Source organism: Homo sapiens, chromosome 2 (assembly GCF_000001405.40).
Source record: "Homo sapiens chromosome 2, GRCh38.p14 Primary Assembly".
Taxonomy (NCBI): domain Eukaryota; kingdom Metazoa; phylum Chordata; class Mammalia; order Primates; family Hominidae; genus Homo; species Homo sapiens.
The window spans coordinates 188,475,464-188,496,837 of NC_000002.12; the positions used below are offsets into that span (position 1 = coordinate 188,475,464).

General features: G+C 32.9%; 1 protein-coding gene across 69 annotated transcripts in view; it reads left to right on the forward strand.

Annotated features, from left to right (window-relative positions):
* GULP1 (GULP PTB domain containing engulfment adaptor 1) overlaps positions 1 to 21,374 on the forward strand; it is a 304,053-nt gene that overhangs the window by 183,590 nt on the left and 99,089 nt on the right. For 67 of the 69 annotated variants that reach the window (NR_164744.1, NR_164745.1, NM_001375929.1 and 64 more), the window contains 2 exons: positions 2,196 to 2,267; positions 7,968 to 8,029. Coding sequence is in view for 64 of the 69 variants with exons in the window: in NM_001375929.1 (NP_001362858.1) it covers positions 2,240 to 2,267; positions 7,968 to 8,029 (90 nt within the window). In the remaining 5 variants the exon portion in view is untranslated. Of the gene's footprint in view, positions 1 to 2,195; positions 2,268 to 7,967; positions 8,030 to 15,972; positions 16,132 to 21,374 lie in introns of those variants that run through there. The other 2 variants (XM_047444693.1, XM_011511331.2) reach the window with 1 other exon arrangement.

A 21,374-nucleotide genomic window follows, 5' to 3' on the forward strand; every position in this document is an offset into this window, starting at 1 on the left:
AAAGCCACGCTATTGTTTAATTTTAAGAATTTTTAAATCATATAGTATTAAACTCCTTTTTTTATATTTCACAATCTTCTTTTGTTGAAAATGTCCACCTCATAGTGATGAAATTTGAGTAGTGGACAGGTATATTAAATTTTGTCTGCTGATTAATAAACTTCATAGTATTTTGTTACTTTATTTTTCCAGAGAAGACAGATTTTACATTTGCATATATTACGTTCTTTTTCTACTAGTTTATTTTTATTTTTTCCTTATTTCTTCAGGATATGCTCAATAAATAACCAGGTCTGTTAAGATATAGGTGAAAAGTGACTTTTGAAATGATACCAAATATATTATATTCTCTGTTGTGTTGTATTCCATTATGTATATACAGTCTGATGGCAAAATCCTCAAAAGAAATTAAGGGTTTTGAAAAAAAAGAGAAGTACAGTAATTGAAAATGCATAATTTCTTGGTCTATTGGTATAATATGTGTGGGAGATAAACAGCCAGCCTCTTGAAAGGACTGCAGTAGAACTAGTTTGCTCAGGCAACAACTAGGTTTCAAGAAGAGCGGCAGAGTGGATAAAATCTTTAGAAAAAATGCGAGTGCATTTTGATAATGATTTACTGTGAATGCCAGATGACACAGTGAAATGTTTCCAGATGATGGGAGAAGTGAAAGATGTGGTTACAGAATGTAATGCATTAGAATTAGATTCTCTGAGTGATGAGAGTAACCTGAGCTGCTTATGTTGACTCACATACTTCGGAATAAAGAATGTGATAAAATTATGAAGGTCTCCTAGCAGGAAGTGGTGGTGAGACTTTGAGACTTAGAGTGGAATGGGGGAAGCTATTTCCAGAATCATGCAGAGCTTTTGGTCTCTCGTGAATTTATCTCTAACAGCTGAGACCTCTAGGCAATAGTGGGCAGAGAGTGGGGAAAGTTTTACCCAGAATTCAGTTACTGTCTTGTCATCTGAAGATGGAACACACCAAACTGGGCTCTTACACCAAGCACATGAGTTTCCTTTGATTTCTGTTGAAGCAGGTCTCTAGGTTATCAAGGAAGAACATTATTAAACAGTTTTATTTAATGTGGTTGAATTCTAAAAATGAAAAAAATGCAAATTTTTAAAAAATAGCAAAATATTTTAATTCTAAAAAGTATTTGTGTTACCCTGTAATATACCTGTAACACTAGTCCTCACAGAAGATAAAGTAGAAGTGAAAGGCTATCTTAATGTCAATTCATGAATATTCTGTTGCTAGAGCAGCAAAGTTATTTCTGAGTGTTGTATCAGTAAGATTAACTATTTTGTGGACCCCAAATATAGATTACAATGCAGTACCAATAAATATTTAATCATAACTTTCTTCTTAGACCTTAATGTGAATTGTCTCTGAGTCTCTGAGGGAATTACTCCAGAAATCTTTTTGTTGTTGTTGTTTTTTACACGAAGTCATTAAATATATAAAATGGAAATATCTCAATTGGACAACAGTACATAAAGTCCTTTACCTAAGCTGCTGAATTTGATGTGTAACCCTCATAGTGAATACACTACAGAACAGGTATTAAGAGGACCTCTTGGATGGATAAATAATGCATATAAAAAGAGCACTAAATTTAGATCCCATGCTATATCTAAGACAAAGATTGTAGCTAATATCTTCTGAGCTCAATATGTACCAAATACTGTGCCAAGTACTTTCATACCTTTCCTAATGTGTAAAACAATCTTAAGTGGTAGGTAATTTTATCCTATGTTTTAACCACTGCTCCTAGTATATCACCTGTCTTTGTGACTTTGTAATAAACACGAAACTCTTCTGGGCCTCAGGTAAATAAAAAGTAAAGTGTTTATATACACACCTCTTGTCAACAAGCTGAGGAAAAAGTATTGATCTTTCTTCTCCTTAAGTTTGCAAATAAATATAGTTAATGATGGATATATAATAGAAAAAAGACAAAATTGAAGAACTTGGGAGGAATTTCTGTGAGACATTCCTATCTGCTTGTGCCACTCACGTTATTAAGTACTTGTGTTTTTTCTTACCCAATGTCCTTTGAGGCATTTTAGAATATTGTTTGTAAATATTTTTAAAAATTTAAAAAGCCTTTATAATTAAAACCACATTAGCAAAAGAGAGGTCAGTCAACAGTCCTTTGTTTATGTTTTAATATTTTGTCACTTTTACAGGATTTAAGTCGTGGAACTGAACATTTATTTGGCTGATCCTCATCATGAACCGTGCTTTTAGCAGGAAGAAAGGTAAGTGTGGTCATTTTTTAAAACTTGGGAGTCAAGCCAATGTTGCTATGAACATAAGCAGCGATGTTAAGAAATCAGTTTTTCTTGTTGTCAAACCACCTGGCCCAGAAATGAAGTTAGATTAGAGCAACACAAATCTGCAAACGTTGCTAATTAGCTTTCCTTAGTTATCACCCTAGTGAAAGATCAAAGTTGTTTATTACACTGAGTTCACAATACATATGTGATAATATGTCGCCTGGCAACTTGAAGCTTGTTGTGAAATTGCAAAGAATAAAATGATCTGAAACTTTGTCCTAACTTTAGCTTATGTAGCCATATAATACTAAATTCCCTGGGCTTACATAAGATTATGGTAACATAAATTCATTCATAATTGTGTGTGTGTGTGTGCACAGGCTTCATGTATCATTGAACAATATGTGAGGATTGGTAGTAGATAGATTGAAAGCAATGAGGCCACAATAAGTTTGTTATTAATTTTTAGGTAGGAATTTAAATAACTACGAATGTAGTATATTATAGTGATCACTATAGGACTGAAAGAAACAGCTAGTTAGATGTTGTTTTTTAATGGGCAGAAAAACATGGCATTTGACAAACTATTTTATGATGCACTTATAAAGAAAGATAGAAAAATAAATATAACTTTGCGTAGGTCAGTGAAGTTTAAATAATGTATCCTTTCCATTCTCAAAGGAGTTCTCTAGTGGAGAGCATGGGGCTCTCTCCTGTTTTACATTATTGATGAATTGGGGAAGAATGCTTAAATAATGATAATCAAATTCATAGGTGATTGAAAGCAAGAAGGTGATGATACATGAATGCTGTAGTAGGATTACAGATGTGTGAGGAAAAAATGACAAGTTAGGCCTTATTCCACACTATAAACTTACTAAGATACTGCAAATTGTCAAACAAGGGCCCAGAAAATCTAATACTTTTATCATGATTCAAATATTGCTGTTATTTGGAAGATGCATCTTGAATGCTGTCAGAGTAAAAATGGCTGAAGAATAAAGTCAACAGTGTGAGTATCAAAGGCTCTGTGTCATTTTCTAATGTATGGATGGATAATGAATAGTCCAGAACTATGACTAGTGTTCTGTTCAGTATCAGGCAGTTGGGCACTGGGTGTTCTCCCTTTAAAAGGTTACAGTGTTAACTGACACATAGTAACGTGCCCAGATGAGAAAGACTGAGATGACTTCAGGACTTTCAGCCATGTAACAGGAAGCATGACTGAGAACCATTCATGTGTTAATGAGAGCTGTCTTTCAATATTTGAAGGACTGCCATTTAGCCATGGGGTTGAGTTTAGTAAAGGACAAATAGGTGTAAATGATAATGTCACTGATTTAATATAGGGAAAATGAATTCCAAGAAAGTCAGGTAAATGTTTAATTAAATTACTCAAATTACTAGCTTTTTTTGGTCTCTGAAGTGAGAGGTGTTCAAACATTTGGATGTGGCAGAGAAGATTAATGTATTCAGTGAGAATTTAGATAATGTGACCTTTAAGGCACTCTTCAACTCTGGGAAGCTAGAAATTTATTATTTTACTTAATTTTCCTGAATAAGGGGAAAGCAAAATGACATTGATTATAGTCTGTAGCTGCTTCTGATTTACAACAGGTACCAAAAGTAAAATAGTGTTTCTTTCATTTTTACTAGTAACAAAATCTATAAATAATTACATGATATATTGAAGTTTTTGTTTTGTTTTATATAGAGATAGGATCTTGCTACGTTGCCAGGGCTGGTCTCAAACTCCAAGCATCAAGTGATCCTCCTGCCTTGGCCTCCCAAAGTGTTGGGATTATAGGCGGGAGCCACTGTGCTCAATCTGAAGTATGTTTAATAAAGTAATAGAAATCTTACATCACAACTTAACACTTTAATCACTCTAACTTATTTTTAATAAATACTTCTAGACCTTCTTTTTATATATATATGCTTATAATCCTCCTTTCCTATCACTTTAAAGTTGAAACTCCACATCTGTAATTTACTGTTTATTTGAAGGGGGTTTAGAATGGTTTTTCATTGAGAAATCCCAAGAGTTGGATAGTAATGTGAGTAACCAGTAATTGTATATTTGTCTTATTTGAACACAGTGGGAGTACAACCATAGGAATAGTGGAGTGATTTGGAGAATCAAGAAGCAGAAGCACTTGTTATTTCCTGATTTGCTTCATTCTCTTTGAATTTCTTTTGACTTCTCTTATTTTTCAGGTCTAATGATTTAGTATCATGAAATTATTCACTAATATTTTACTCCAACCTGAAGTTAAAACTTGAACTGAAAATTTTCCCTTAAGTTCACCAGTCAATCCTGACTCTATCATTTGGTGAAGTTGTTAAAGAAAAAATTTTAAGAGCCCCCGCTCCTGGTTTCAATCAATAACATTATTTCATTAAATTTTAATTTCAGATGAAAAACTTAAATTGTTTGAGAGAATTTGTATATCTGGATAAGCTGGAGCCATAAGCTATAATTATATCACTAGAGAATATTTTATTTAAGTCACGTTTCCAAAACTACCATCAACATACCCTGTGTACAGTATCCTAAACAAAGCAAGGTGGTCTTCTATCAGTAAAAGCTTATCTCTTTATTTCATAGATACCCAATATACTTGGCCATCACATGTAATCTTACTAAATGATCCAGGACCTCAGAAGCCTAAGGAAAAAAGACCATCTTAAACCTAAACATAATTGTGTTTTTTTTTTAAATTAAATCTCCAAATTAGTAAGTTTGTATTTCTTGATTGAATTCACTGATTTTCTTTGCAGATGCTCTAATGGTGTTAGAGTTACTCAGAGATTCTGAAGAGTGCTGAATATATTACAGTCATATCATTTTGAGCTCTTTTGAAAAGATCTTTAAAAATTAGTCTAATATAATCATAGACGAAATTTTAGTGATTGTCTTTGTTTTAGATTTTTTCCCAATGTTAATTTTCTTTTAATTAAAAAAATTTTATATTCTATTTATTACATCAAATATAAATCATTAAGTAAAAAAGTATAAAAATAACATGTGAATAAATGATTAAGTAATTCAACTAGTTACATTTTTTTAAACTTAGTTGACATACTATTGAGTAGATATCAAATGCACAGCACTTAAAATTTAATATTTAAATGTTACTTTCTTTTTTAACAAACATTTTATTCAAATGTATCTATTCATTAACCAGCATTTAGTTTTAAATTTAATGTACTCAAAAGTAGGTGTTTCACCATTGTAAGCTCTGATGATACAAAAATAATGAATTTACTCTATATTTCCTGATGAGTTCTTAATCTAGATGCATTTTGAAAACCTAAATTTATTGACCCAGCAATCAGAGTACATTGATATTTGTCAAATATGTTGAAATGTTGGCATTTTCCTTCATGTAAGTCTTCAATTTTGAGTTAGTGATTTTACTTTAATTCAAGGAAGAGGAACTCTTTCTAGAATGTCTATATTCCCATTTCTGCACATTTTCATATATCTAATACCTTCTATGAACACATATAGTGACCAAGGACCAGCATGTGTATTTCCTACTCAAGATTTAGTCCTATCTATAAGTTAATATAAAAAGTTTTATTTTGTCATTTTTTTGCCAAAGTATAAATTAGGATGACAGTAAGAACTCATTTTGGAAATCCTTCAGGTTTTATAAATGTACTGCTCATACCTGAGGATATGTAATAAACAAACACTAAATTATCAGTGCTTGATAATATGGATGCAGATTTTTGTCATTGTAGGAGCTACAGCTTATCCACTGGAATTTAATATTGTGATTATTTTAGTCTGTCAGCAGAAGCAGCTTGGTATACTCTTTTTAGGTCGCTGCAATATGAGTCTGTAACAGAGGCATTTTCATCAGTTTTCAAGTAATAGTGGTTTATAGGAGAAAGAAATTATTAATACCTCTCTGCCTCAGGATTGGTGTGACCCATCATAGTGAGAGTTTAGTCAGCGTTTACATACTCCTGAGATGTGTTGTATGTTTTGGAAAGGAGACATGAAAAGAATTAAGTGAAGGAGTTAAAAGGAGAAATTGGACATCTTAGTTTTCCTAAAGGTGTTTTTCTTGTTTTGTGTTTTATTGCCTTGGAAGAAGTATTGTGATTTACTTCTTTTAATGTATAAAAGCAAGACTATATTCCAAATCTAAGTGCAAATTATTCTTGAATTAATCATATTACTATCCATTAGCAATCACAAAAAGTATAGCTAAGATGACAATCCTTATAGAAAATACAAATTTCACACATTAAATGTCAACGTCAATATTTTTTGAAGCTTAGAATGTATTGCTGTTCAAAATATTTCACCCAAGTATGGCTATCATATATTCACTCTAGTAGTCAGAAATAGACCCAATTCTCTTGGCCCTTCATCTTTTGTATTGGAAATACTTGAGAATATTGCATTGTACCCCATAAACAAATTTAATATGAATACAGTGCATTATTATTCAAATAGTATAAAATAATTTACATTCCAAAAATATGTGTCATTTTCTCTATGTCTTCACATTAACCCAGTTTAAGAAGAACATATTAAGGGTATCAAATTAGTTTCTGTTAACAGCATTTAAAAAAATCCAAATTTAATGTTGAAACTACTTTGTTAGTAATACAATATTTCCTTCCAGTTTGTATTTGTATGTTTCATGGTAAAATAAATCTTTGATTTTGTTCTATTTATAATACTGATTCCAAATTTTAAACTCCCGTGAAAAATAAGATACGTACAAAACTACACTAATGGAGGCAAAATATCATTGAAGATTGAGAAGTCTTACTCCACATAAGTGCAGATTCAAAAAAAGCCAATCTGTTTCATGTAAATGTTAACATTTTTTTCTCCCCATTATGCATTCCTCAAAATATTGGGGAAAATATGTGGGCTATATTAATAAAGTTCAAAAATTAAATTGAAAATATTAGTAATACAAATATAAATAACAAGATATAAATAATATATAATACAATTACTTTTAATATATTCTATCCTTTTATTTCTAATATTTTTAACACTTATCTAAGAAACATTTTGATTTACTGCATTTGAGACTATTTATATCCAAAACTCCTGAGAGAAGACCTTCAATCAGTGTTTCCTCAAATTTAGAATAAAGATTTATCATAATATTATATTGATTTCCAAATGAACACAGTAAGTTGGTTAATTTCAGCTTCATACAAATGCAGTTGTTAGTATAATATGATAATTTCCCTTTAGAATAACTAAATCTTGATGCTACAATATAATATTTGCAAAGAGTTAAAGAGCAGATTATATTTTATTGTTCTAGGAATTAAGAAAAATAACCTATAATTCATGAGAGCATAAAGTGAAAGAAGAAAGATACTTGTTTTAAATCACAAATGAATGCAATTACTCATAGCCCACTGATGTGGTTTTTATATGTTCTTTTAAAATTTGGTATCATTTTTATTATTTGAAAACTTTAAAAAGAAAAGCTAGGGATTTTTATACCAAAGAAAGAATCCTATAATCACGCCCCAACTAAATTGTTCTTCTATCTGAGTGGTTATTCTTTGTCATTTTGGCAAAGAATCTCAGAATTAGAAATACTCTGTGTCCTAAATTACCATACAAATGGTAATGCGTGAATATGACACCATGGAAACCTAAAATTTAACTCTGTGTATTTTTTATTGCAGACAAAACATGGATGCATACACCTGAAGCTTTATCAAAACATTTCATTCCCTATAATGCAAAGGTAAAAATAGTTCATTTATTATTTAATTTTATTTTGTTATAGTATCATTACTAATTCATGGCTAATCTCAGATTGCTTATGTATTGACATTTCCTGGTTATTGATTCCTGAAAAAAGTTTACATAAATAAAATAATTGTGGCATGGGAAGTTATTTTTCTCTGTAGAATAGTTTCTCTTTTTAAAAGTGTATTATTTAAAATTACTGTTTTAGTCAAACGTGTTTTCTTCAAGTGATTTTTGTTATTGTTAAAAACATTTGCAATATCATGGCTTGTAGAAACTCAAACCACTAACAAATTAGCTTTCTTTAAAAACATTAATGTTACATTATACAACCTAAATATAAAAACCTGCAAATGAGAGAAATGAGCTGCAATTTTCATAAATGTAATTATCATTCAAGAAAAAAGGAACAAAGTTTAAATTTTTATTTTATTTTATTTTATTGAGATGAAGATGTGCTCTGTAGGCCAGGCTGGAGTGCACTGGGGAGATCTTGGCTCTCTGCAACCTCCATCTCCTGGGTTCAAGTGATTCTCCCACTTCAGCCTCTGGAGTAGCTGGAATTACAGGCATGTGCCACCATGCTTTTTAGAAGAGACGGGGTTTCACCGTGTTGCCCATGCTGGTCTCGAACTCCTGACCTCAAGTGGTCCACCTGCCTCAGCCCCCCAAAGTGCTGGGATTACAGGTAGAAGCCACTCTGCCCAGCCTAAATTATTTTTAAAAAGCACACAAAAAGGTGCCTTTTAAAAATTCTTTTGTTCAAGTTGCTGCATTTTAATAGAGAAATGGAAACATTAATCTACGCTCTGTGTCTTTAAAGATTTCATTTGTTGTTGAAAAAAATGAGTGAATTCAGTTTAAAACAGAGACTTTAAAGAAAGGTGCTATTTTGTAGTTAATTATCACCAAACTTGTAATAGTTTTCAGAGAGATCTGAGTCAAAATTTCGAAGAGTCAGAAATGAGTTAAAGAGGGGATTGGAAATATTAGCGTCAAATTTAAAAGCAACTGAACTTTGGAGACAGAATAGGGGAAAACAAAACTATAATATCTTTATAAGAGAACTTAAACGTTTATGGATTAGTGAAGTATACACTGGGATACAGTGAGATTAGGCATAGCAATTATTTCAGGAAAAATTAAAGAATGTTTATTGAGGAGAAAATTAACGGTGTTTGGTAGGAAACATCTAGAGTTCTTACCTAAGTCTGAATCAGAAGGAAGAAACATTTAAAAGCCTATGTAGAAGAAGTTCTTCCAGAGCTGTTGTTCAGCAGCGAAATTTGGAGAGTGCACCATCTCTTATTTTTTTCTTGCTGACTTACCAGCAAAGAAATCTGAAATATTTTCTGTGTAAACATATTATACTTGAAATCACTGCAGTGCTTATGAATTTTTCTATAAACTTAACATAAAGGCTGATTGCCCTAATTTAGCATGAAAAGTTTAGTTAACTGAATGAGAAAAATTGTTTATGTTATCCATCATTTCCACAGATATTGTTTGTATTAGCTATTGGTATACTATATGAAATCTATACTGAAAAAATTTTAATCTGGAAAGCTGCTATGATTTTAAAATGCATGCTCAATTTTTTATATTATCAATCATAGTGGAATTATATGCTCCAGTTGAAACCATTAATATTTTTATGTGACTGATATGCCTCATTTTGAAAAACAGCTTTATAAAAGATTAAAAGGTTATATTATAATTAGATCTACCTTTAACTCCGCCAATCATTCTGCTTGTCTACATGGAAAAGTTGCCAGTGCCAATTCACAGGTGCATAACAATTTTAAGACATTCTACAGGAAGTAGAGGGTGCAAAAACATCTTCCCAGACTGGGAACAGTAAAATATGGAAGGGCAGGATGATTTTGTCTACTATAATATGGCCTCATGAGTGATAATATATATTGTATGTGTACCAAGTAGCATTAAATTCATTTGAAGAATGTTAGTTTTTTTCTGAAGTCCTTTGTTTGTGGCACTTATTAGGATGACCTCATAGTAGAGTTACTTTTTAAGATATCCTGTATCTCTTGTTATAGAATATGCCACTTGAAAACCAAATCCTTGACCACAGAAAGTAGCTTGGCACAATAGAAAAAAAAATACAGACTCTAGAGCTAGATTCCTTGGTTTATATCATGACTCCAACACTTATTTACTGTATGCCTTTGGGAAAATTGCTTAACCTTTCTATGTCTGTGATTACTCATCAGTAAATAGGGATAGTAACAATAGTAATTTCTCACTTGAGTTGTTATAGACATAAGGAAGTTAGTGCTACAACAGTGTCTGAAAGAGTGGAATTTTTTTCTCAGGCAACCATCAGTTCTGTCCCTCAGTTCTGTTCTTAGAGCCATTCAATTCACTGGATCTGGCTCATCCAGATTATCCAGGATAATCTTTACATAAAGTGAACTGATTAGAGATGTTAATCGTATCTATGAAATAACTTTACAGCAACACCTAGATTAGAATTTGATTGAATAACTGGGCACTATAACTTAGCCAAGTTGACACATAAAACTGATCTCATACAAGTATTAATGATGGACAAGGTTAAAAAGGCAAATTGGGAAGGCTTTGAATGGCAAAAGCAACAGTTTGGATTGTAAATGAATCCAACAGGATTTTAGGAAGATAAATCGGTAGTGATAAAAAAGTCAGTTTGAATCAAGAGTGTTAGAATGACATTAAACCTCTTAGGAAGTTATTTTAATGGTCCAAGTATGTGGTAATAAGTTTACCATAGGGTAGTAGATAAATTTGCAGTGGAAAATAAAGATGTGCTTAATATTCCAGAGGAAGAATTGATATAAAATAGGAATGGTATATAAGTAGAGAATAAGAAAAAATATCTATTTTCATCCTGGCTAAAAGAGAGACTCATCATACCATTAAAAGATTCCTACTACTTCACTCACTTTTGGCATCCACTGGTTACAAATTAATCTGATAAATTTAACAGAACTACTTAAGAATTATTATTCTCCCTGGAGAAATATGTAATAACATTTATGTTTAAATGTCTTCAGTTTTAAAGCATTAGTGTTCTGTTTTATTTTATAATTCTTTTTTAGAACACATTTTATTTCTACATTCTTTCAATTTATGGAACATTGATTTCAAAAATTCACATTTAATATTCATAGTGTAATGATTTGAGATCATTTGTCGATATAAAATAATAAATGGTTTAAAATAAGCATTGTTCTATGTAGGGTTCATTAGTTTTGGAGTTTTCTTTAATGTGCAGTGACAGCATTAATATTAGTTCATTGGGAATCTTTTATATTATCCTGTGTACTCTGTAGTGATGTTTCCAAGCTAAAGGTTATTACCTATGAAAAAATGTGGTCATGAAATCAGGTAGTAGGTCATAGGGACATATATTTAGAGATGGGTAGCAAGGGCAAAAAAGGTGATTGCAGTTCAAGCTGAGTAGGAGCTAGAGGAGAAGAGTACTGAGAATTTGGATGTATTTTGAAAGTAAAGTTGACAGAATCAATAGATTAGGTATTAGATTCTATTGCTACTATAATTAGAATGTTAATGCAGAAATTTAAAAAATTCTGTTCCCTTCAATTTTTTATGAGAATGCTAAACTCTCTTTTCTATAAAGATAAAATGCTGGCAGACTTGTATTTTAATCAATTTATTTTTCTGTTAGAGTGAGACAGTCATTTCCTAGATGAAGAATTGTGACAAATGTTTCATTGAAACTTTTTTTATTGAATGTTTTATTCTAAAATGTATAATTATCCCCCAAAAAGTTTAATGTATTTATCCTTTTATGAAAAATCTATCTTTAAGATATACAAAAATGCAAGGATGTTTAAGAATGAAGTTATAAAGAGATTACTACCTTACTTTGCATGAGGCAGCAGTAAAGAGAGTGAGTATTCCTTGATTATCTGTCTACTGTGTTCCAAGCTCTAAAAGTGAGCAAATGTAAAACAAATAGTAACACGGACCTTCACCTTAAAAACTTATGACGTCCCTGTGGAGAGGAAACAGTCATATGAAACATAGAAAGAATTTTGGAAGAAAAGTACATAATGATAACCAACATCATGTCGTTATCTTCTAAACTATGGAACATCTTAAAATCAAATATAGAAATATAACGCATTCCTTGCAAACCCTTTCAAAACCATGTCAGGGAGTTTTACAAGTGAGAAAACTACATAGCTAATCAACAACAAAATAAAATACAAATGTCAAGGAGAGGTTTACAAAGAAAGATTACCTTACATTTCAAAGTTTTCTAGAGGTGTCAGAGTTTTACATATGACACGTGCACTGTTTGCCACTTCGTTTGTTTAATCAGAGAGAAGGCTTGCTGGCCCAGTGAGTTGTGTGGTTTCTAGTGTGGCTTTCTCATCTTTACAACCTAAATTTGCCAACAAAAAAATTACCTATGAGCCTTTATTTGGGTTCAAAATACAAACAAAATGACAAAGAACAAAAACACTGCCTTCATCCCCTCCACACACAAAATATGTAATATCAGATGTGACAGTAAGATATTAGAACTTGAGGATTCTAACCCTTAGTTGGTTGAAAACCACGTTGGACACTTATGTTTCAAACTTTTAACTAAACCTGCCCAATAGTAATCCTAGAAAAATCAGAACCTACGTATCTGACATGCTCAGATGCACCCCTCAAGAGTAAGCTCTATACCAACAACTCCACTGATTCTACCAGAATTTTATAGCCATATAGTTGCTGCATCCTATTACAGTAATTAGAGCAGCCATTTCTGGGTCAAACTATTTGGGTTCAAACTTCTCCTCTCTCAACTGTTATCAGAATTATGTAACTTTTCTGTCCTTGAGTTTTTTTACTTGTAAATGAGATTAATAACTACAAATATCAAACTGGTTTGTTAGGAGATTTAAGTGAGTTAATATATTTTTTTAAAACTTAGATCAGTGTTTGGTATGACAAAAGTTTATTGTTATTAATATAGTTGTTATAGAAAGTGTTCTGTCAACTCTGGAGTTGACACTAGTCATTACTATCTCTTGAGAATAATGTAGCATTGAAAAACAGAGAATGAACTACTTAGAATGTGTATCAGGTATTTTATTTTTTCTGTTTGCATCAACTGAAGTACTTGCAGTGACCACTCTGAAAGGTTCTATGGGGAAGGAATGCTTTTTCCTGAAGCACAACAGGAGACTCAATACGGCCACCTTGGTGGAATTATATGCAAGAGAATGCTTTGATCATTAAAGAATAATACTGTTGTGATTATACTTTCCTATTACCTTGAAGTAATAGGAGATACTTTGAGGTAACAGCATTCTGGAACAAAATATTAATGCAAAGATTGTCCTGGTCTTAAAATCAAATATAGAAAGATAAGGTAGTCCTTGTAAACCTTTTGAAACCATTAGGGAGTTTTACAAGTAATCAGTTAATGAAGAGAGAAAGTTACAACATTATTTGGCTTAATGAGTCATAGTAAAGACGGGTCTTAATATAAAAAAAAATAATTTTACTAATGCTCTTTAAATTGTTTTTTGAGAACATATGATAAATTACCCTTCAATGAAATATTAAGATTGGTATATGACCTAATTGAAAAAAATTCAGGTTTTAGAAATAAATGACATCTATTAGTGTGTCAAAAAAAGGAAATGAAAGAAAAATCTTCAGATTCAACTCTTTGGAATCGTTGAAAGTTGGGCAAAAGGTACACCTCTGTAATCGATGAGATGCCTTGTTGAAACATCCCAAATGGTTTTGAATTGCAATTTCATGAGATTCTTTAGAGCAGTTTTATACAAGCAGCAAACATAAGCACTTGCCAGTTTTGCTGGTTGTAGAAACCAGGGGAAATATAAGAAACGTAAAGAGCTCAATTGCATTTCCAGATAATCCATATCATTTATCCGAAAATGAGTCTTTAATTTCAAAGCATAGGAACCACTTTAAAATTTGGTGTTACATGACCTTTAAAAAACATTTTATTAGATTTTAGAACTGGTCTTTAATAATGCTAATATATATCATTTATATTCATTCCAAACATTTTAAAATTAAAGAATGAGCATATAAATTGAAGCTTAACCATCATTTTTCTAATTAAACAAATAATATATACTATAATATGTATTGATAATTTGGGATCTGTTATCACTTGGAATTTTTGCTTTATGTGCCAAAGTAATACTGACACGTGTTTAAAAGGAAATTAGAAATCTGTAAAATGTTACCTTTCCCTTGTCCTCTCTACAGTGGGAAACTATATGGTGTTTTTTATGCCAAAAAATATGAAAGCAAATAAAAGTGTAGTAATAACTGGAATTTTATTCAATTGTGATTTGTATTAATAGCTAGTATGTGCTTACAAAATACAAGAACAAATGGAGAAAAGGAAATGGCAATAAATACCTAACATTGCATGGCTTCTGGATTCTTGAGATAAACTTTCAGTTAATTCTGAAGGTTGTCATCATTACAAACTATAATTCTACATCTGAGAGTACTCTAACAAGTGTTATATAGCTGCTAGAAATTATTGAATAGGAACTAAAAACTTTTATTAGTACTCATTACATTTCAGTATTTACTATAGTATCATTTTATTTTTTTAAAAAAGGCAGTATATGTGTTATGGATTCAAAGACAGTTTTGAAAAGGACTTTAGTATTCATTATTCAAACTCGGTTATTTTCTTGATAAGGTCATTCAAGACCCAGAGAAGTTGTGATTTGTTTAAGCTTACACAGGAAGATAGTAGCAAAATTAGGTGTTGAATGAAGTATCCGATCCTGTTCAACATCCGTTTGTCTATTTATTGCGATATACTGTTCCTAATTTTGGAGAGTACTTAACCAGCAGATGAAAGACCTAAAGACAAGTAAAATATGTATATGTGTCTGCCACTTGTATATGTTGTATGTGAAATTGCTTCATCTGTGGAACCCTGCCCCTGTCTGTTAAATGATTCTCTGGACATCATTTTAAAGTAGGCAGGGGTTTGGCAGAGATGTGAGTGAGCTAAGTAGACTAAGTAAAGTCTATGTATTAGCCTCCCTAACACAGGGGCCACATGTCTAAGCTTCCATGAAGTATTGCATCTTTCTTTCTTCTGCTTTGCTTAATGATATTTTTATTAACATAATTCCTGGATAAAAATGCTTTGGTGTTATCTATGTCCTTAAATGCTTCTTCACCTTCAGAGCATCTAGTGATACATAGGACATTTTCTGAAAGTTGAACATATTTATCATTTATTTCATATTTCTGCATCGATGTGTTTGGCCCTAGATGAAATAATTTTTATTTTATTTTTCAGAGAGGGTCTTACTGTGTCACCCAGGCTGAAATGCAGTGGCACAATTTTAGTTCACTGCAACCTCTGCCTCCTGGGCTCAGGTGATCCTCATACTTCAGCCTCCTGAGTAGCTGGGACTACAGGCCTGCACCACCATGCCTGGCTAATTTGTTTGTAGAGATGGGGTTTCGCCACGTTGCTTATTGCTGGTCTTGAACTCCTGAGCTCAAGCGATCCACCCAACTTGACCTCCCAAAGTGCTGGGATTACAGGGATGAGCCACCATGCCTAGCCGAAATAATTTTAAAAAGCTTGTTCATAGCTAGAGAATGTAAAGAAAGAAAAGAAAGGACTGATTTGGTCTCAAAAGGGTCAAGCAATAGCATTCTGAAGACTGGACTGTGAGACTTAAGGATCTGAGCAGAAAGGAAAAGTAGAGATTACAGTTTTGGAGGAAAAAAAAACATGTTTCCAAAAAGTAAAAAACATTTAATGTTTTTATCAATACCATTTCAGTAATGGTGTTTTGATGAGCCACTAAAATCAGCATATAAGTGACTAAAATCAGCATAAAAGAAAATTAGCAAACAGGTGAGCATGTTTTTTTTGTTTTGTTTTTGTTTTCTTAACAGAGAACGTAGGAGAAATGAGAATGAAGAGGAAAGGATTGTTAAGAGAAGTAAAATGTGGCAGAAAACACCAAGATTTTGGAAATAATTTAGATGTGAACACAGAAATTGATGTTATCAATGGATTATGTGGTTGCTTTTCAAATATTGATTAGGAAAATGGTAGGTGAAAGCAATTTGCCTCCAGATTCACTCTTTGTCATTTCATTCAAAAGGTCTAAGATGAGGCAGGTGGCCAGCACACTCTAGAGACACTAAATCTCTTCAGAAGACAAACTAAGATTTCTATTCATGACATTCTTTCATTTTAAGAGACATTTTAAAGGAAATAATGTCTCAGCCCTTAGGCAACATATACATAAATTCACATATTTTACATCAAAATAAAGTCATGTTTGTCTTTCTTGTAGTATTTTGAACTACAGGAAACTTCATTTCCAGAGCTGTTATGCATATTTTTACATTTAAGAATAGTCTCCTGTTGTGCACTTATTTCTTCAGTTTCCAGAAAAGTGTGTATCATCTATTTTTTTTCCTTTTTGCTAGAACTAAGTGGTTTATTTTTCTAAACCTTTAAATCATTTTCATAAACGTAAACATAGACTCCAGATAGTATATCAGATAGTATTAAAACACCTCCTCTTTCAATATCTTGCACAGATGTGATCGCAAAGCAGTACAAAGAGGTTGCTGGGATATGGTGTAATTCATACAAGCAAAATCTGAGGAAAAATGTATCTCCAAGTATGGAAAACACAGGATAACACAATGAAAAATCAACTGTTTACATTATTAGGTCTTCAAAGTGTTATATATTTAAGAACAATAACTTTTATTTTGAAAACACAATATGTGCTAATTATTAAAATTTAAGCAGTACAGTTAAGCACAGAATTAAACACATTGCTCAAACTCTATCAGGCAGAAATAACCCAGTATAGACTTTTGGTTAACAGTATTCCAGGCATTTCTTTGCATAAATACAAGTGCAAGAATGGAAATACTGATTTAAAAAAATAGCATTTAACATATAAACAAGACTCCACCAATAATTTTCTAAGCATTTCACATCTGTCATCTCATTTAATCCTTAGAAAAGCCCAGTGAGATTGGACTATTTATACGTCCCATTTAACAGCTAAACAATAACATGAAACTGTAAGTAAGGAAAGTGATGCTGGGGATGAATGGATAGATTCATAGGAAGAATTAACTTTAAAAAAAAAGAAATTATAGCATGGATACTATTTTAAAATAACGTTGAACTTTAACAGAAGAAAAAAAAGTGAAGTGAATTGAAGGTGTTACCAAATTTTTTATATATCTATCTCTTTGCCAAAAGCGATATTAGTTCCTAAAAGGTTGTTTTAAGGTTCAAGAAGATGATTATGAAAGTCATTAAGTGTTTGGCATCATCGTGTTTTTCCTTAATAGCACATTTCAAATTTTGACAGTAATGCATATCATACATGAATGATGAAGTGAATAGCTGACTTAAATTTCTGCCTGGTAGCATAGTCCACCCCAGTTTTTGTTTCTTATTTTAGTCTTACTTGCCAGGATTTGCAACGTTTACATTTTGTTCTGAAATTATGATTTCCATAGCAGTTTAATCTAAATTACATATTGAAATGCATTCAGATAACCAAACACTTTATTTACTATTTCTTCTTCTCTATTTACGAGACCTATGTTTATAAATTTCAGTTTTCCTCCTCAAGATGTTTTTCTAAAAATGACCCAACGACTTGGAAGTTTTGTAGGGTATTTCAAACTTGAGAATATCTAGGACATCTTTATGTTTGGATCTTTCTTTGCCTCAGAACATTAGTCATTGTTGCACAGTCTTCCTTTATTCTCCTGTAGAAAAAAATCTGAATCCATCCCAATTTCCCTCCTTGAAGGGGTCTTACTTTTTCTTCGATGCCTGAGACTTCATTTTTTATCCTTACATTTTAGTTATATAATTGATATGTTTTAATGCTGATTGTCCTGTTCCATTGTTCCTCTGGGTTCTATCGTTAGAACATTTTCTTCTTTTTTCTACTCCCCTTGGGAAGTCTCTTTTACACCCACAACTTAAATCACCATCCATCTCTTGATGACTTTCCTGCCTAAATGTCACCCCTAAACTCCAGACCCAAACATTTGTCTAGCAGACACATAACTTTTAAAAGACTTTAATATAACATAAGGACAAATCCCCAATCAGGCTTATGAGAGTCTTCAATAACCTTATCCTCCTCTATCTGAGCCAGAAACACCACTAAGAACTGTTGGTTTCCGGTGACACTAACTCAATCTGGCTTCAGCAAGAAAGGGAATACATTGGTTTACATAAAAGAACACCTCACAGGGAGGGCTGTCTCTAGGCCAACTTGATTCAGGGCTCATTTGATAAACTCTCCTTCAGTTTTCATTGGGTTGCGTCAGTTCTCAGACTCTTCCTACTGGCCCCTGGTAGAGTCAGATTTACATGACAACTCTCAGATCTACTTCTCTAATAACTCAAACTCACCTTCCTGAATAGAATCTTGCTGACCCTTGTAGGTTTGATATGGATCATGTGCCCTTCTTAGCCAGTCTCTGGATAATGTGTTCATGCCAGCCAGTGAATGATGAACTCATTGACTTAACCCATGTGACATAATGCATTCCCAGACAACAAGGACTGATTGTGGAGAAAGAGTAGGTCCCTAAAGGAAAGCCAAGCCAGTTACTGGAAGAAAGGAGAAAGGATGTTATAGATACAAATACCATTAAAAAAACACTCTTCCACAGGTATCAGCTGTGACCAGTGTTCCCCTCCCTTACCATCTACATCTCATTAAACATTCAGACTTCTTGTTTGTTTCAAAACCTCTTGAATATGTGTATTTCTCCACATAGCTACTACTGTCCACCTGGTGTCAGTCAGTGCTTCTCCTAATGTCTATGATGAAACAGCGGATTTTTTCCCTAATCTATCACAGACTCATATTTTTCAAAAATCTTATAGTAATATATATATTCAAAAGGATGCCTCCTTTGTCAAAATGCTATAACAATTGGTAAATGCTGACTCTCAATGTCTATATTTATCTGGCATGCAACACTTGGTGTCAACTGCTATAGGCCACCGTCATCTGTCTCACACACAGACCCGTACAGTAGTGTCCACCCATCAGGTGGACCTCCTCTTCTTCCAGTTCCGATGCTGCTCCAAAAGAGGAGCGAGCATTTTTAAATGAAAATCTAGTCATTTTATCTTCCAACCTGAATATCTTTAAGTAGCATCACATTTTTCTCATAATCTATTCCTCTCTCCTTAGCGTGACTTTTGGTTTGTCTTCTCAAGCTTCATCTCTCTTATATGTTCTTTTTTTTCTATGTGCTCCTTTGTTTTTTCTCACAATCTCTTTCCACTCTTGCTCTCCTCAGGGGCTCTGTCTTTACCTTGAACATACACAGACTCCACTATACTTCCTTGCTAAATGTCAATGCTCTGCTTAGCTTGTTCCTCCTGGAAGACTTACCTGATACCACAGTCCTCTCAACTAAATCACTGACTCAAGGGTTTTTGTGGTATCCTGTGCTTAACCACCCTGTCCTAATTCTTCTAATCCTATTTTGTAAATTGCTTATTTAGTTGTCAGTATGTATGCTTTCACTAGATCAAAGGATCTTGGGAGGTAAGGCCAGATCTTGTTCATCATTATATCTCTGCCCCTAACACTATGACTAATACCTTACTTTCACCAGTTACTGTGGAGATTTGGTCAATTAATGGGTCCATCTGAGGAAATGTAAAGAGGGAACTCAAGCCAGACCAGACTGTTCATGCAACACAATTCTATACCCAATACCTAGACTATACCTACATATATGCCCTCTTCTGGGCCTTCCCAGGCCCCAACCCCATCACCCTACTTTACCAGTTCCACTCTAATTTAAGTCTTAGCAAACACCTGTAATGCCTTGAAGCCAGAAAGTGAAGTCCTCCACTGCGTTGTCAAGGCCACCAGGAGAAGTGGATAGAAAATTAGTCCCATGTTCTTCAAAATATAACAACAAACTCACTTATCCAAACAAATAATAGTGATTAAGGGGTATTATGCTATTACTGCAAAAGGACCAACAGTTTAGAACTGGGAAGGCTGTGTACTATAAGCAAAAAAACATGGACTTTGGAGCCTCATCGAAATGAATTAAAAGTGGACACTACAACTTAATGGCAAGCCTAGTATTTAACTCAGTTTTCACACATCTAAAATGCAAATAATACCTTCTTTATAGAGCTTTTGGGACATTAAATAAAAAAAATCTGTACAGTGCCTAGCACATGGTTGGTGCTCATTAAATGTTAGTTATTCTCTTTTTTCTTTTTCAAGTATACCAAGATTTAACAAAGATTTGATATACCTTTATTACACGGAAAAAAAAGCTTCCGTGATTTCAAACAACTATCTTACAGATGGGATTTTTTAGAATATAGCACATTTATTAGGAGGTTAGTCCCTGATTCCTTGCATATTTTAATAACATGACCATTTCAAAATTCAACATTATGAAATTGTAGAACCAAATTGAATAGATTTGCACAATCCCCCTCTCTTCCTGCCCTGTCTCCCAAGCAGATTTTATCTGTGACAGAATTACCCACTAATGATGATAAGCATGGCAGCAATGGCTAATTGCTTCCTAGGAGATTTAGATTCAGAGAAGCATGAGTCACCTCACCCCAGATTCTGCAGGTTCAGATAAGCGATAGTATCTTGAGCATCAAAGTAAGCAATGAAAGGGCTTGACCAGCTTTTAGTTGATCCCTAGCTATAATCCTAAATAATTAAAACTAGCTTTCTAGTTCCCCCAGAGTTTGCATTTATTTCCAAGAAATGCCACACCACTTTCTTGGTTACATGTCTGTTTTTATTGCTCATTAGAATGGTATTGCTCTAGGCTTGCTCACACAAACATTTGGCGAGGAGATGATGGAATAAAAACAAAGCAGCAAGCTTTACCAGGAAATAACCTATTTTTATTTGCAGATATTCAAACTAAAAAATATTCTTCAGAAACTTCTGGGGAAAAAATGAGCAAGATTAAATATGCTCAAGCGTTGCCAGAAGAAACATGTCAATAAAAATAATTATTTTTAGAGTGTAGAGTGAGAAAAAAACCTTTAAAATTTAAGCAATGAACTTAGAATTTTACAGATGGTTTTATATGCTTGTGTGTGAGTGTGGACATAGCAAGTTAAAGGAGTAAAACAGACATTATAATTGATATGGTTTGGATTTGTGTCCCTACCCCAATCTCATGTCCAATTGTAATCCCCAGTGTTGGAGGTGAAGCCTGATGGGAGGTTATTAGATCATGGGGGGTGGTTTCTCATGGTTTAACACCATCCGCCTTGATGTTGTCCT